This window comes from Homo sapiens, chromosome 5 (genome assembly GCF_000001405.40).
Source record: "Homo sapiens chromosome 5, GRCh38.p14 Primary Assembly".
Classification (NCBI taxonomy): Eukaryota; Metazoa; Chordata; class Mammalia; order Primates; family Hominidae; genus Homo; species Homo sapiens.
Genome location: NC_000005.10, coordinates 12,563,442 through 12,577,282, shown reverse-complemented (window position 1 = coordinate 12,577,282; position 13,841 = coordinate 12,563,442). Strand labels below are relative to the sequence as shown.

Here is a 13,841-nt window from a genome sequence, read left to right as displayed (position 1 = left end):
CCCCACCCTGTGTCCAAGTGTTCTCATTGTTCAACTCCCACCTATGAGTGAGAACATGTGGTGTTTGGTTTTCTGTCCTTGCTATAGTTTGCTCAGAATGATGGTTTCCAGCTTCATCCATGTCCCCTACAAAGGACATGAACTCATCCTTTTTTATGGCTGCATAGTATTCCATGGTGTATATGTGCCACATTTTCCTAATCCAGTCTATCATTGATGGACATTTGGATTGGTTCCAAGTCTTTGCTATTGTGAATAGTGCCGCAATAAACATACCTGTGCATGTTTCTTTATAGCAGCATGATTTGTAATAGTTTGGGTATATACTCAGTAATGGGACGGCTGGGTCAAATGGTATTTCTAGTTCTAGATCCTTGAGGAATCGCCACACTGCCTTCCACAAGGGTTGAACTAGTTTACAGTCCCACCAACAGTGTAAAAGTGTTCCTATTTCTCCACATCCTCTCCAGCACCTGTTGTTTCCTGACTTTTTAATGATCACCATTCTAACTGGCATGAGATGGTACCTCATTGTGGTTTTGATTTGCATTTCTCTGATGGCCAGTGATGATGAGCATTTTTTTCATGTGTCTGTTGGCTGCATAAATGTATTCTTTTGAGAAGTGTCTGTTCATATACTTTGCCCACTTTTTAATGGGGTTGACTTTTTCTTGTAAATTTGTTTAAGTTCTTCGTAGATTCTGGATATTAGCCTTTTGTCAGATGGACAGATTGCCAAAATTTTCTCCCATTCTGTAGGTTGCCTGTTCATTCTGATGGTAGTTTCTTTTGCTATGCAGAAGCTCTTTAGTTTAATTAGATCCCATTTGTCAATTTTGGCTTCTGTTGCCATTGCTTTTGGTGTTTTAGACATGAAGTCCTTGCCCAAGCCTATGTCCTGAATGGTATTGCCTAGGTTTTCTTCTAGGGTTTTTATGGTTTTAGTTCTAACATTTAAGTCTTTAATCCATCTTGAATTAATTTTTGTATAAGATGTAAGGAAGGGATCCAGTTTCAGCTTTCTACATATGGCTAGGCAGTTTTCCAAGCACCATTTATTAAATAGGGAATCGTTTCCCCATTTCTTGTTTTTGTCAGGTTTGTCAAAGATCAGATGGTTGTAGATGTGTGGTATTATTTCTGAGGGCTCTGTTCTGTTCCATTGGTCTATATCTGTGTTTTGCTTACTGTAGCCTTGCAGTATAGTTTGAAGTCAGGTAGCGTGATGCCTCCAGCTTTGCTCTTTTGGCTTAGGATTGTCTTGGCAATGTGGGCTCTTTTTTGAACTTTAAAGTAGTTTTTTCCCATTCTGTGAAAAAAGTCATCAGTAGCTTGATGGGGATGGCATTGAATCTATAAATTACCTTGGGCAATATGGCCATTTTCATGATATTGATTCTTCCTATCCATGAGCATAAAATGTTCTTCCCTTTGTTAGTTGCATACATTTCTAAAGTATTTTTTGTTTAAAGACTTAATGAAATTATATTAGATCAGTTTGATTTTCCAAAGGATACAGACAAATGCATTTTTCAATGTAAAAACAACCCTACAGTACTTTTGGTAAACATGTATAATGTACCTCTGTTTTAGCATGTGTTCCTTTAAGAACAATGTATTATTTTGTTGGTTTTGCCGATAAAATCATAAAGAATTATAACAAAATGAAAGTTCAAAATAAAATGCATGTTTGTATGCTTACAGACGGAAAACTCTGTCATTTTGGCTAGTTATCAATCAAAAAATATTCATTGGTTTTTCTATATGGAGCCCAGCTTTCTAATTAGGTCCTACATGGATACAGAGCAAATGCAGTAGGTGTTCTTACATTCAGGAATCATTGTAAATAAAATAGGACTTAAGTTAGTTCTTGAATCATTAGTTATAATTCTTAAATAAAAGTACCTCATACAGATTGGAATTGGTGGTAGCAGCTTACTTTTCCCATGATCAGTATAAGACAATTGTTAATATTTAATTTTGAAGAAAATAAAATGCCTCACTTTTATTCCTCTAAGACACATCATTCTCTGTAAGAAGAGGTTTATAAATTACGTAATAGGTCACAGGTAACTTCTCTTCATCCTTATGAATTGAGAATTACACCACTGGATGCAATAGAGTTACTCTGGAAAATTAAATAACCTTTGTATTAAAAAGAAAATATTCTCTATTGTTGTAGTACACTAAGCAAAATGACTTGATTTCATTTTTTATTCTTACTGCTTACCTCAAGAGCAGTCTATTGCTGAGACGTGACAGCGTGCTGGCAGGCAGCCCTCGCTCGCTCTCGGCGCCTCCTCTGCCTGGGCTCCCACTTTGGTGGCACTTGAGGAGTCCTTCAGCCCGCCGCTGCACTGTGGGAGCCCCTTCCTGGGCTGGCAGAGGCCGGAGCCGGCTCCCTCAGCTTGCAAGGCGGTGTGGAGGGAGAGGCGCAGGCGGGAACCAGGGCTGCGCGCGGCGCTTCCGGGCCAGCGTGAGTTCCGGGTGGGCGTGGACTCGGCGGGCCCGGCACTCAGAGCGGCCTGCTGGCCCCGCCTGCCCTGGGCAGTGAAGGGCTTAGCACCTGGTCCAGCAGCTGCTGTGCTCGAGTTCTCGCGGGGCCTTAGCTGCCTCCCCGCGGGGCAGGGCTTGGGACCTGCAGCCCGCCATGCCTGAGCTTCCCCCCGCCCCCGCCGTGGGCTCCTGTGCGGCCCGAGCCTCCCCGACGAGCGCCGCCCCCTGCTCCACGATGCCCAGTCCCATCGACCACCCAAGGGCTGAGGAGTGCGGGCTCACGGTGAGTGGTGACAGCGTGCTGGCAGTCCTCACAGCCCTCGCTCGGCGCCTCCTCTGCCTGGGCTCCCACTTTGGCGGCACTTGAGGAGCCCTTCAGCCCACCGCTGCACTATGGGAGCCCCTTTCTGGGCTGGCCAAGGCCAGAGCCGGCTCCCTCAGCTTGCAGGGAGGTGTGGAGGGAGAGGCGCGAGCGGGAACCGGGGCTGCGCCCGGCGCTTGCGGGCCAGCTGGAGTTCCGGGTGGGCGTGGGCTTGGTGGGCCCCGCACTCGGAGCGGCCGGCTGGCCCTGCTGGCCCCGGGCAATGAGGGGCTTAGCACCCGGGCCAGTGGCTGCGGAGGGTGTACTGGGTCCCCCAGCAGTGCCAGCCCACCGGCGCTGCACTCGATTTCTCGCCAGGCCTTAGCTGCCTTCCCGCGGGGCAGGGTTCGGGACCTGCAGCCCGCCATGCCTGAGCGTCCCACCCCCTCCATGGGCTTCTGTGCTGCCGGAGCCGCCCCGGCGAGCGCCACCCCCTGCTCCACGGCGCCCAGTCCCGTCGACCACCCAAGGGCTGAGGAGTGTCCTCTCTTAGCACATAAAAAAATCAAACAATTTTAGTTTCTTAGGGACGGCTGATGGTTGTACATTGCACTTACATTGGAGAGAAAAACAATAAACCATTTCAAGAGAACTCAGAACCAGATTATTTTTAATCACATAAATAAGCTCTGAGGAAGTTCACTGAAGCAGGAAAAAAAACACTTGATGTGAACACCCACCTATGAATTGCAGCAAATAATTATGGCTAACAAGGATTCCAATTGTACATGTGCCCAGATAGAGGTATTTATATAAATAATGGAAATTAGCATAAACCATCTGAAATTTGTAATCATTGCTAACTATTAGTTACTCTACAGTCTTTCCACTTTGTAAGCAATTCATAACAAGCTGGAATTCATGGGATTTACATGTCCTCTGTGGATTTATTTTCTACGAAAAATAATGCAACCCCCATATTCTCTCTTTAAAATGATTTTGACTCATCACAATTTAGTTAGAATTAGCAGAGTAGGAAAACAATTATATTCACGATTAAAATTTCAAACTAGGCAAATATCAGCTGTTTTTCACGCAAGAACTCATAGGAAGATGGTAAGCAATAGAAACAAACAGTAGTTTATTTCATTGAACATAAGTGCTCAAGAGAGAAACAAAATGTCAATTTCTTAAAATATTTCTCTTGACTTTAGAACGTAAAAGAATGTCCTATAAAAATAGGTCATCTGCCTATGTGGAGCTCCTTGTCCTTAAAGATGCCTTACAGGCTTTGCTCTAGCAATATCCAATGAATAGCCACAATGAGAGTGTCACCATGCTCACTCTCAAATCGATCTTAATTACTTAAATGCAGAGAGAAGTTAAAGGATCACATGATTTTCATACAGCTTGGTAACTCTTTCTTTTAAGGGAAGAAATGCTATGTACAGGAGCTATGCTAGACTCTTGAGTCTAGTGCATGTATATTACTCTGAATACTAGGCAATGCTTATTACTTAGAGCCCTAGGTACTTTTCAGAAACTATAACCATGTTGAATTTGTAAAATATGGACAACTTCAACAATTAAGAACATTTTAGATTTTCTCTCATATTGTGTTTGAATACTTGGTTCGTTGCATAAACTATATCTGATTTCCAATTAGCAAAGTAAAAAAAAAAAAGGCATAGCTTACAGGTATTACATGTTTGTGGTGGTGGTTGTCCTTGTGTAATCTTTGAATTTTTAATTATTATTTTGTATGCCACTGTATTATTTCTTGGCTTGATAAGTATTTTTCTAAACCTTTCAAGCTTCATAGACAACCAATTATTTCCTTCCACACCCCTACCTTCACATTGCCATGTATAGAAAAGGCGGCTGTAGGATATAGAGTGAGGGCCTTATAAATACTAAATGAAAACACGTGCAATTTTTATTTGTAAGGGCACGCTGCTATGGTTTGAAAGTTTGTCTCCTTCAAAATTCATTTTGAAATTTAATCACCATTTAACAGTATTAAGAGGTGAGACCTTTAAAACGTGATAGGCCATGAAGGCTCCACCGTCATGGGTGGATTTGTGCCATTATAAATGGAGAAATTCAGCCCCCTCTTGCGCTTCTAGCCTTTTCACCTTCTGCCATTTGATGATGCAGCAAAAAGGCCCTCACAGGTGCCAGCATCAGGATAATAGACTCCAGCCTCCAGAACTGTAAACCAATAAATGTCTGTTTATTCTAAATTACTCAGTCTTCAGTGTTCGATTATGATAGCATGAAATAGACCAAGACACGTGCATATACATCAAAAGATTGTTCCATTTGTTTTTGTTTGCTTTTTCTCAAACCACAAATTTTACCTCACATTGGTACTTCAATATTAGTGGTGGATAGCGTACTTCAAATATTTGTGATGCATGAGAGCATTTTGCTCTCAGGGACATAAGAAATATTTGTGTCCTATTTCTTCTCTGATTCTCTTTGACATTATAGAATTTGTGTTACCAATTTTTATTTTGATATTTGCGCGCTCCACATTTACTAGTTGTTCAAGTTAGTAACTATCACATTTACCTAACAGGTTACAGGATTCCCATTTCAGAACTACGACCATTTGAAAAATAGAAGATTTAAAGATTGACGCAAAGTGCATGTACCATGATACACCAGGTAAACTTAAGATTTAAGTACTTCCCATCAGCAGAATTCCAGAATTCCAGAATATTACTATCATAGTAGTGGTAGAGATGATGATAGGGTGTATCTATGTAGGTTAACAATTTTCTGCCTCTAGGATATATGCTCTCAATTGTCTTGGAATGTAGTCTCTTATTTGATCTTAACAAAGTCTGATGCTGTGGGATGCTCCACCTGAAATCTCAGTAACAAAGATTATGCTTCTGTTCTCAAATTGCATCTAGTATTAATGGGATTCTTTGCCTTTTGAGGTTCAGATACCCGTTGGACTAGCAAAATGAACATACACATGCACTTGATTGTACAAAAAATATTCAAAACATCAGAGACTTCATTAGTTTCAAGTATTGGTTTTTCTATGGGGTGCATGTAATTTCGGTTAATAAAAGTGTACAAGCCGTCACCGGACTCATCATTTATGCATTACAAACAGTCACAATGATCAAATGCTCTAATGCTACTCTGAGATAATAAAGAGAAGGTATTCTGAAACAGAGAAGATTTAATTCCAGGCCATCTTTTAAAAAAATAATTAAACAGAATTTACCAGGTTCATTTAAACAAAAATAACTAATTACAATATGCAACTTGAATAATCAAACAAGTTATCTATGTGCCTGAAGCCAAGACTATTCTGTAAAATGAAAATTTTAAAACTGGTGAATTACCTATTAAAAATCATTTCAATCCTCACCATTATTTTATTTTCCAAATGGTCAAGGATTATATTGAGGTTTTCTAAGCAAGAAAAAGGCACAGAGTTTGGCTCTGGCTTTATTTACTGATCAATACAATCAAGAGTGGAAAACATACTTTGCAGTGTAGGTCAATTGTCAAAGGCATTTCAATTGTTTAAAGACAGGATATAAGAATTTAAGAGTTATTTGTTTCTGTCATCGGCAGGGTGTTAGTCATGGCAAAATCATCTTCTGATTCTCCTGTGGATTAAAAAAAAGGATCAGAGGCTTACATGTTCAATGGATTATTTTCCTTTTTGAGAAAACAAACTCTCCTCCAAAGCAAATAGTTTCTCTGTGGAAGGAAAGAACAGATATAATGCCTTCAGGGATTTGTCAAGAGACTACTGGGTGGAAAAGAACTAATCACATTTTTCAATATAGTAGAACCTTAAAGTTACTTTGTCTTTTATCATCTATACATGAAGGGTCATATTTTAGTTTCCTAGGGCCACTATAGCAAATTACCAAAAGCTTTGTGGTTTAAGACAATAGAAATTCATTATCTCCCAGTTCAGGAGGTCAGATGCCTCCTGAAATAAGAATGACTTTCTCCTGGTGGCTTTGAGGGAGAGTCTGTGCATGCCTCTTTCCTAGTTTCTGGTAGTTTCCTGGAATCTGTAGCATTCCCTGGCTGAGACACGTTGCTACAATTCCTGCCTCCATCTTCACATTCACTTGTTCTCTGTCTATCTTTGTGTCTTCTTTTCTGTCCTTATGAGGAAACTCATTAGATTTAGGGTCTGGCTAAATCTTGGATGAACTCTTCTTCAGATCCTTCATTTCATCTGCAAACACTCTTATTCTAAATAAAAGGTTTCAGGTGACCATATATGTTGAGAAGATATCATTCAACTCACTAACTATATCACATTTTCATTTTAAAATCCTATAAATATTCTCAATTCTAACTCTTGGTATCTGATAAGCAAGAGAACTGAAAAATTAGTTGTTTTTTTTTTTGAGACAAGGTCTATCTCTTTCGCCAAGAGTAGAGTGAAGTGGTGCAATATTGGCTCACTACAACTTCCACCTCCTGAACTCAAGCCATCCTCAGCCTTCCGAGTAGCTGAGACTACATGTGCATGCCAGCATGCCTGGCTAACTTTTGTGTATTTATTTATTTATTCTTTTATTCTAGTAGAAACAAGATTTAACCATGTTGCCCAGGCTCATCTCAAACTGCGGGGCTCGAGCGATCTGCCCGCCTAAGCTTCCCAAAATGCTGGGATTACAGGCATGAGCCACTGAGTCTAGAGGAATGACATGCTCAGTGAAGCCAGAGTTTAGGAGGCTGATCCAATGATGCTGTCACAGTCTGCATCTTGCGTATGTTCTGTGTTCTTTTTATTGTGTGGCAACTTAAAATTACTTGTACCTTATATTATGCCAGTTAAAGAAGTTGAACCTATTATTAATATCTTTCTCCAAAACATTCCCACAAACAGATTACCTTATCAGTGATTTTTTCCTAATAGCTATTGCCAAAATAACAGCAACTTCACACATATTCTTCTAAAGTGAAGAAACAGGGAAAGTATTTAAAAAGTATTTTTGTGAAGCCAGCAGAACCATGATAACAAAATCCAACAAGAACATAGAGTATATGTATACACATCAAAACAAATTACATGAAACATTTGTAAATAAAAATCCAGAAACAAATAAGATTAGTATTAAATTACAGATGTCTGTTTTATAAATCACGAATGCAAAGACAATGTAGAATTAATGTTAATCTTTCTGCATGATCACATAAGAAATTAAATATGTATGACTGTCTTTATAGATGTATTCAAATATTTGATGAAATTTAACAAATATTAACTTTTAAAAGCAAAGCAAATTTTAAAAAAATAAAATGTCCTTTTTAATGCATCCATACAGAAAACTATCATGAATTATCATTACAAATACACTGATACCCACATTCACTACTTCTGTTCAATTTTGTGCCAGTGATCTAAGATAGCACAACACAAAAAAACCCAAAAAATTCAATGTATAATATATTCAGAAACATCGTGAAGGTGTTTCCTCATTCAAAATAATATGAATAAAAATAATCCAAAAGATTCTCTGTGCTGTGGTTCAGCTCTGTGTTTCCACCCAAAACTCACCTTGAATTGTAATCCCCACATTTCAAAGGCAGGACCAGGTGAGGTAACTGAATCAAGAGGTCAGGTTCCCCTATGCTGTTCTTGTGATAATGAGTGAGTTTCATAAGATCTGATGGTTTTATAAGCATCTGGCAATTCTCCTTTTTGCACTCATTCTCTCGCCTACTGCCCTGTGAAGAGGTGCTTTCCCTCATGATTGTAAGCTTCCTTAGGCCTCCCTAGCCATGTGGAACTGCGAGTCAGTTAAAACTCTTTTCTTTATAAATTACCCAGTCTCAGGTATTTCTTTATAGCAGCAAGAGAATGGACTAGTACACTAAACAAATATTAGAATTAATCAATTAATACAATAATATTGGAAAAGATAAGAGCAATGCAAAATAAATGAATTGCATTTGCAAAACTCAGAAAGTTATAGAAAATAAAATGATAAATTTTACCATTTACAATCATATAAAAATTAATTACCTATGAATATATCTAACAAAAGATAGGAACAATTTATATGATGAAAAACACAACATACTCCTGAAAGATATTAATACATAAATAGGTCTGTGAGGCCTGTACATAAATATAGATTTGAAGACAGCATTTCTTCCAAATATGCTTATAAATGCATGCAATCCCACAACCACTTCAGAAAATATTTCCTCAGAGTTTGTTTTAATGTGCATACATTGATAAACTTTCTCTAAAATTTATATGCAAATATAAAGGGCTCAAAATAGCCCAGATAATCTTAAAGAGATATAACAAACCTGGAGAAATTCCATTACTAAAAATCACATCTTATTTTAATACACAAATACCATACTGCGTAATCAATGTGGGAATAGATAAACAGATAAAGGCATGAGAGGAAAAGAGATTCCAGAACCCAGCAAGAATGTCTCTGAAAGGATTGCTGTGTGGCATGTCTTCTTGTGTACAGCAGTTGATCTCTTGCAGCACTCAAATACATTCTCATATACATTTTCAGGGAAAAGCTTTCCCAGGACTCCTTCTTGCATTTCTTTCTCTTCTGAGGGAAAACTAAGAGAAAAGAAACTAACTGAAGCAGTTATTGTCAGGGCCACAATTGACACCCATTTTCTCCTCCTTCCATTAACCATTCTATATCTCTCTCAATCAGCAAATAGCTCTGCTTGACCTTAGTAGCTTACCTGGAGGTGAGACCTGCATCCTTGAGGGGTTTGAGTTCCTGATTTCCATGCCCTTCTTATACCAAAGTCTCTGTATCTGTTTGTTTAAACCATGGGTGGACAAAGAAATAGTAGTGGGCTCAAATGGATCATGTGGGTTACACTTGGATTTCTCCTTGCCCTTTGGTGTAACAGAAGTCCACTGAAAATTACAACTCAATTTTCTATTTTCTGATTGTTGATAAAACAAAACAAAAGATCTCAAAATGCCTAGGGAGCAACCATAATTTATAGTTCAACTGACTTTCTTATGTCCCCAGTAGAAAGGTGCCACATTTGAGGATAAGAAACTCTAACCCTGCATATCCCAGGGCTGCAGGGATGGGAAGCATAAATTCCCCAACAGGTCATTGAGAATGGTGCTTAGAGGGACTCCTTCTGCTTTCATCTCTTAGTTTTCTGACCAGGTATTCTTTTTATTGATTATATAGCATTATAAAAAGTTACATGATTCAACAAACTCTCACTTCCATCCCTTGATTTGTTTCTTTTGATCCAGTTCACCCTGGAGTATGGCACACCAAATTTTAAGAGTATTCCTTCTCAGATGGAACTTCTTCATGCCTTTAGCAGGGTCTTTTAACTCTATCCAAGCAGCCATATGGGAAAAGAACAATGGATTCTAATTATAGCTCTCTAAGTAAATGGCCATATGTCCCTTTGGAGAAGCACTGAATCAGTATATCACATATTTGCCATAATATTTTGGAGTCCTTCTGCCTGGGATTCAGTAATTTTTAGTTATGAGATCAATTTCTAAAGCCTGGTTCATATTGAGGAACTAGAAAAATAAAGTTTGAGTTTTTTGGGGGATGTTGACCTCAGCTATTGTTAGCATTAATGAGATTTAGCAATAGTCATCAATCCTCTTATTCTTATAGATATTTTGCTTTTTCATGCTTCAAGTGCTTCAAATATCACATCAGCTATTGCATTCTTCCCCACTGGGAAACCCTCCCAGTTCACCATGGCTGAAAGGTTTAAAAGCTGGCTTGGCACTTGTGCCAGGGGCAGTGTGCTCTGTCAGCAGTGATGGGTTCTTCATTGCAACCTGCGCAGTGAGTGATGCAATTCCCAAACCCCATCTTATTCCTTCCTTCCTGGGACCACTCCAGGAAGTGAGTCAGAGCTTGGAGTACAAGATACTTTTTAAGAGTCAACATCAGTAAGGGAAAAGGGAACAAAGCAAGCTGGATTAGACAAACTGCAGGACCAAGAAAGCCTCTGTCACCCAGAGGGGATCTCTGCAATGAAATTGCTCATCATCTTTGTACCACATCAAACCAAATTTTCAAACTTTTAGAGCTTTGGGCAAGGTGACTTTCTGCATAGGAGGCTGGTCCTGAAGGAATTGACACCTGGAGTCTGTTCAGTGACTGCATTCTCTGAAGCTCTACATAGATGTCTTCCTTGAAGTGTGACCTAGGTGTGATGTCTTCATGTCTACCACACACCACCAAAAAAAGTAATGCTATATTAGTAACAATGTTTTTCATAATGTCCTAAATCTGGGAACTACCTAATGTATCAAATTGAAATGCATAAATATAATGCAGAATATTGATATAATGTTATAGCATTGATATTTGATAGGGTTTGGCTGTGTCCCCACCCAAATCTCATCTTGAATGCCCACATGTTGTGGGACAGAACTTGTAGGAGGTAATTGAATCATGAAGGCAGGTCTTTCCCATGCTGTTCTCGTGATAATGAATAAGTCTCACAAGATCTGATGGTTATATAAGAAGGAGTTTCCCTGAACAAGCTTTCTCTTTACCTGCTGCTATCCATGTAGAATAAGACTTGCTCCTCCTTGCCTTCCACCATAATTGTGAGGCCTCCCAATCCATGTGGAACTGTAAGTCTATTAAACCTCTTTCTTTAGTAAATTACCCAGTCTTTGGTATGTCTTTATCAGCAGCGTGAGAACAGACTAATACAGTAAATTGGTACCAATAGAGTGGGTCGCTGCTGAAAAGATACCCAAAAATGTGGAAGGGACTTCGGAACTGCATAACAGGCAGAGATTGGAACAGTTTGGAGGGCTCAGAAGAAGACAGGAAAATGTGAGAAACTGTGGAACTCTCTAGAGACTTGTGAAATGGCTTTCACCAAAATGTCGATAATGATATTGGCAATGAAATCTAGGCTGAGCTTATCTCAGATGGAGATGACGAACTTGTTGGGAACTGGAGCAAAGGTGACTCTTGTTATGTTATAGCAATGAGACTGGCGGCATTTTGCCCCTACACTAGATATTTCTGAAACTTTAAACTTGAGAGAGATGATTTAGGGTATCTTCCAGAAGAAATTTCTAAGCAGCAAAACATTCAAGAGGTAACTTGGGTGCTGTTAAAGGCATTCAGTTTTACAAGGGAGGCAGAGCATAAAATTTTGGAAAATCTACAGCCTGAAGATGTGCTAGAAAAGAAAATCCCATTTTCTGAGGAGAAATTTCAAGCTGCCTGCAAAAATTTGCTTAAGTAACAAAGAGCCAAATGTTAATCCCCAAGACAATGGGGAAAATGTTTCAAGGACATGTCAGAGGACTTCATGGCAGCCTCTCCCATCACAGACTCAAAGGCCTAGGAGGAAAAAATGGTTTCTTGGGCCAGGCCCAGGGTCTGTATGCTGTGTGCAGCCTAGGGACCTGGTGCCCTGCATCCCAGCTGCTACAGGCATGGCTGAAAGAGGCCAATATAGAGCATGGGCCGTCGCTTCAGAGAGTGCAAGCCCCAAGCCTTGGCAGCTTCCACATGATGTTGAGCCTGCGAGTGCAACGAAGTCAAGAATTGGGGTTTGAGAACCTCCACCTAGATTTCAGAAGATGTATGGAAATGCCTGGATGCCCTGGCAGAAATTTTGCTGCAGGGGTGTGGCCCTAATGGAGAACCCCTGCTAAGGCAGTGTGGAAGGGAAATGTGGGGTTGGAGCCCTTCACACAGAATCTCTACTGGGGCATTTCCTAGTGGAACTGTGAGAAGAGGGCCACCATCCTCCAGACCCCAGAATAGTAGATCCACTGAGAGCTTGCACCGTGCGCCTGGAAAAGCGCCAGCACTCAACACCAGCCCATGAAAGCAGCCGAGAAGGAGACTGTACCTTACAAAGCTACAGGGGTGGAGCTGCCCAAGACCATGGGAACTCATCTCTTGCCTCAGCATGACCTGGATGTGAGACATGGAGTCAAAGGAGACCATTTTAGAGCTTTAATATTTGACTGCCCTGCTGGATTTCAAACTTGCATGGGGCCTGTAGCCCCACTCTTTTGACCAATTTCTCCCATTTGAAATGGATGTATTTACACAATGCCTGTAACCCCATTGTATCTAGGAAGCAACTAACTTGCTTTTGATTTTACAGGCTCATAGGCTGAAGGGACTTGCCTTGTCTCAAATGAGACGTTGGACTGTGGACTTTTGAGTTAATGCTGAAATGAGATAGGTCTTTGGGGTACTATTGGGAAGGCATAATTGGTTTTGAAATGTAATGGCATGAGATTTGGGAGGGGGTGGGGTGGAATGATACGGTTTGTCTGTGTACCCACCCAAATCTCATCTTGAGTTCCCTCTCTTGTGGGAGGGACCTGGTGGGAGGTAATTGAATTATGGGGTCAGATCTTTTCTGTGCTGTTCTCATGAATAGTGAATAAGTCTCACAAGATTTGATGGTTCTATAAGGGGGAGTTTTCCTGCATAAGCTCTCTCTCTACCATCCATGTAAGAAGTGATTTTCTCCTCTTTGCCTTCCACCATACTTGTGAGGCCTCCAGAGCCATGTGGAACAAGTTCATTAAGTGTCTTTCTTTTGTAAATTGGCCAGTCTCAGGTATGTTTTTATCAGCAGCATGAGAACAAACTAATACAAGCCTATAGAAGTAACAATTAACATAGATACTCTATACAAGAGCGTAGGTCCATTTAACAAACATATTACTTAGGAAAAAGACAAAATACTGTCTATGATGCCATTCATATAAAATTTAAAAACAACCATAACATGTCTATGATGCCACACAGTAAGGAAAGCAGGGCATGTGGTAGCCACATCTCCCTTTAAAAAAATGTCTGGAGAGGCCTGCAGTCACTTTACCCTCATCCAAGCTGCACCCTCTTATTGGTCTCTTAAATGGGGCAATGAGAATACAGGAATAGCACAGATTAAAGATAGTAAGAGTGTCTGCAATATTCCATACAGTCTTGTACTCCATCTTATTAAAACAAAACCACCCATGTCCTCAGTTTTGTGACCCATTATGTTTCTTCTTTGGCTGAAACTATTTTGA

The 13,841-nt window shown here is 40.1% G+C and overlaps 2 long non-coding RNA genes across 4 annotated transcripts in view; one reads left to right on the top strand and one right to left on the bottom strand.

Annotated features, from left to right (window-relative positions):
* The window catches only part of LINC01194 (long intergenic non-protein coding RNA 1194), a 230,327-nt gene extending 227,901 nt beyond the window's left edge, over positions 1 to 2,426 (bottom strand). The window contains exon 1 of the long non-coding RNA NR_033383.1: positions 2,231 to 2,426. This is a non-coding gene — a long non-coding RNA (long intergenic non-protein coding RNA 1194). The remainder of the gene's footprint in view (positions 1 to 2,230) is intronic.
* Positions 2,427 to 2,642: 216 nt separating this feature from the next.
* LOC105374655 (uncharacterized) overlaps positions 2,643 to 13,841 on the top strand; it is a 213,260-nt gene continuing 202,061 nt past the window's right edge. For all 3 annotated transcript variants that reach the window (NR_188266.1, NR_188267.1, NR_188268.1), the window contains exons 1-2: positions 2,643 to 2,779; positions 5,379 to 5,467. This is a non-coding gene — a long non-coding RNA (uncharacterized LOC105374655). The remainder of the gene's footprint in view (positions 2,780 to 5,378; positions 5,468 to 13,841) is intronic.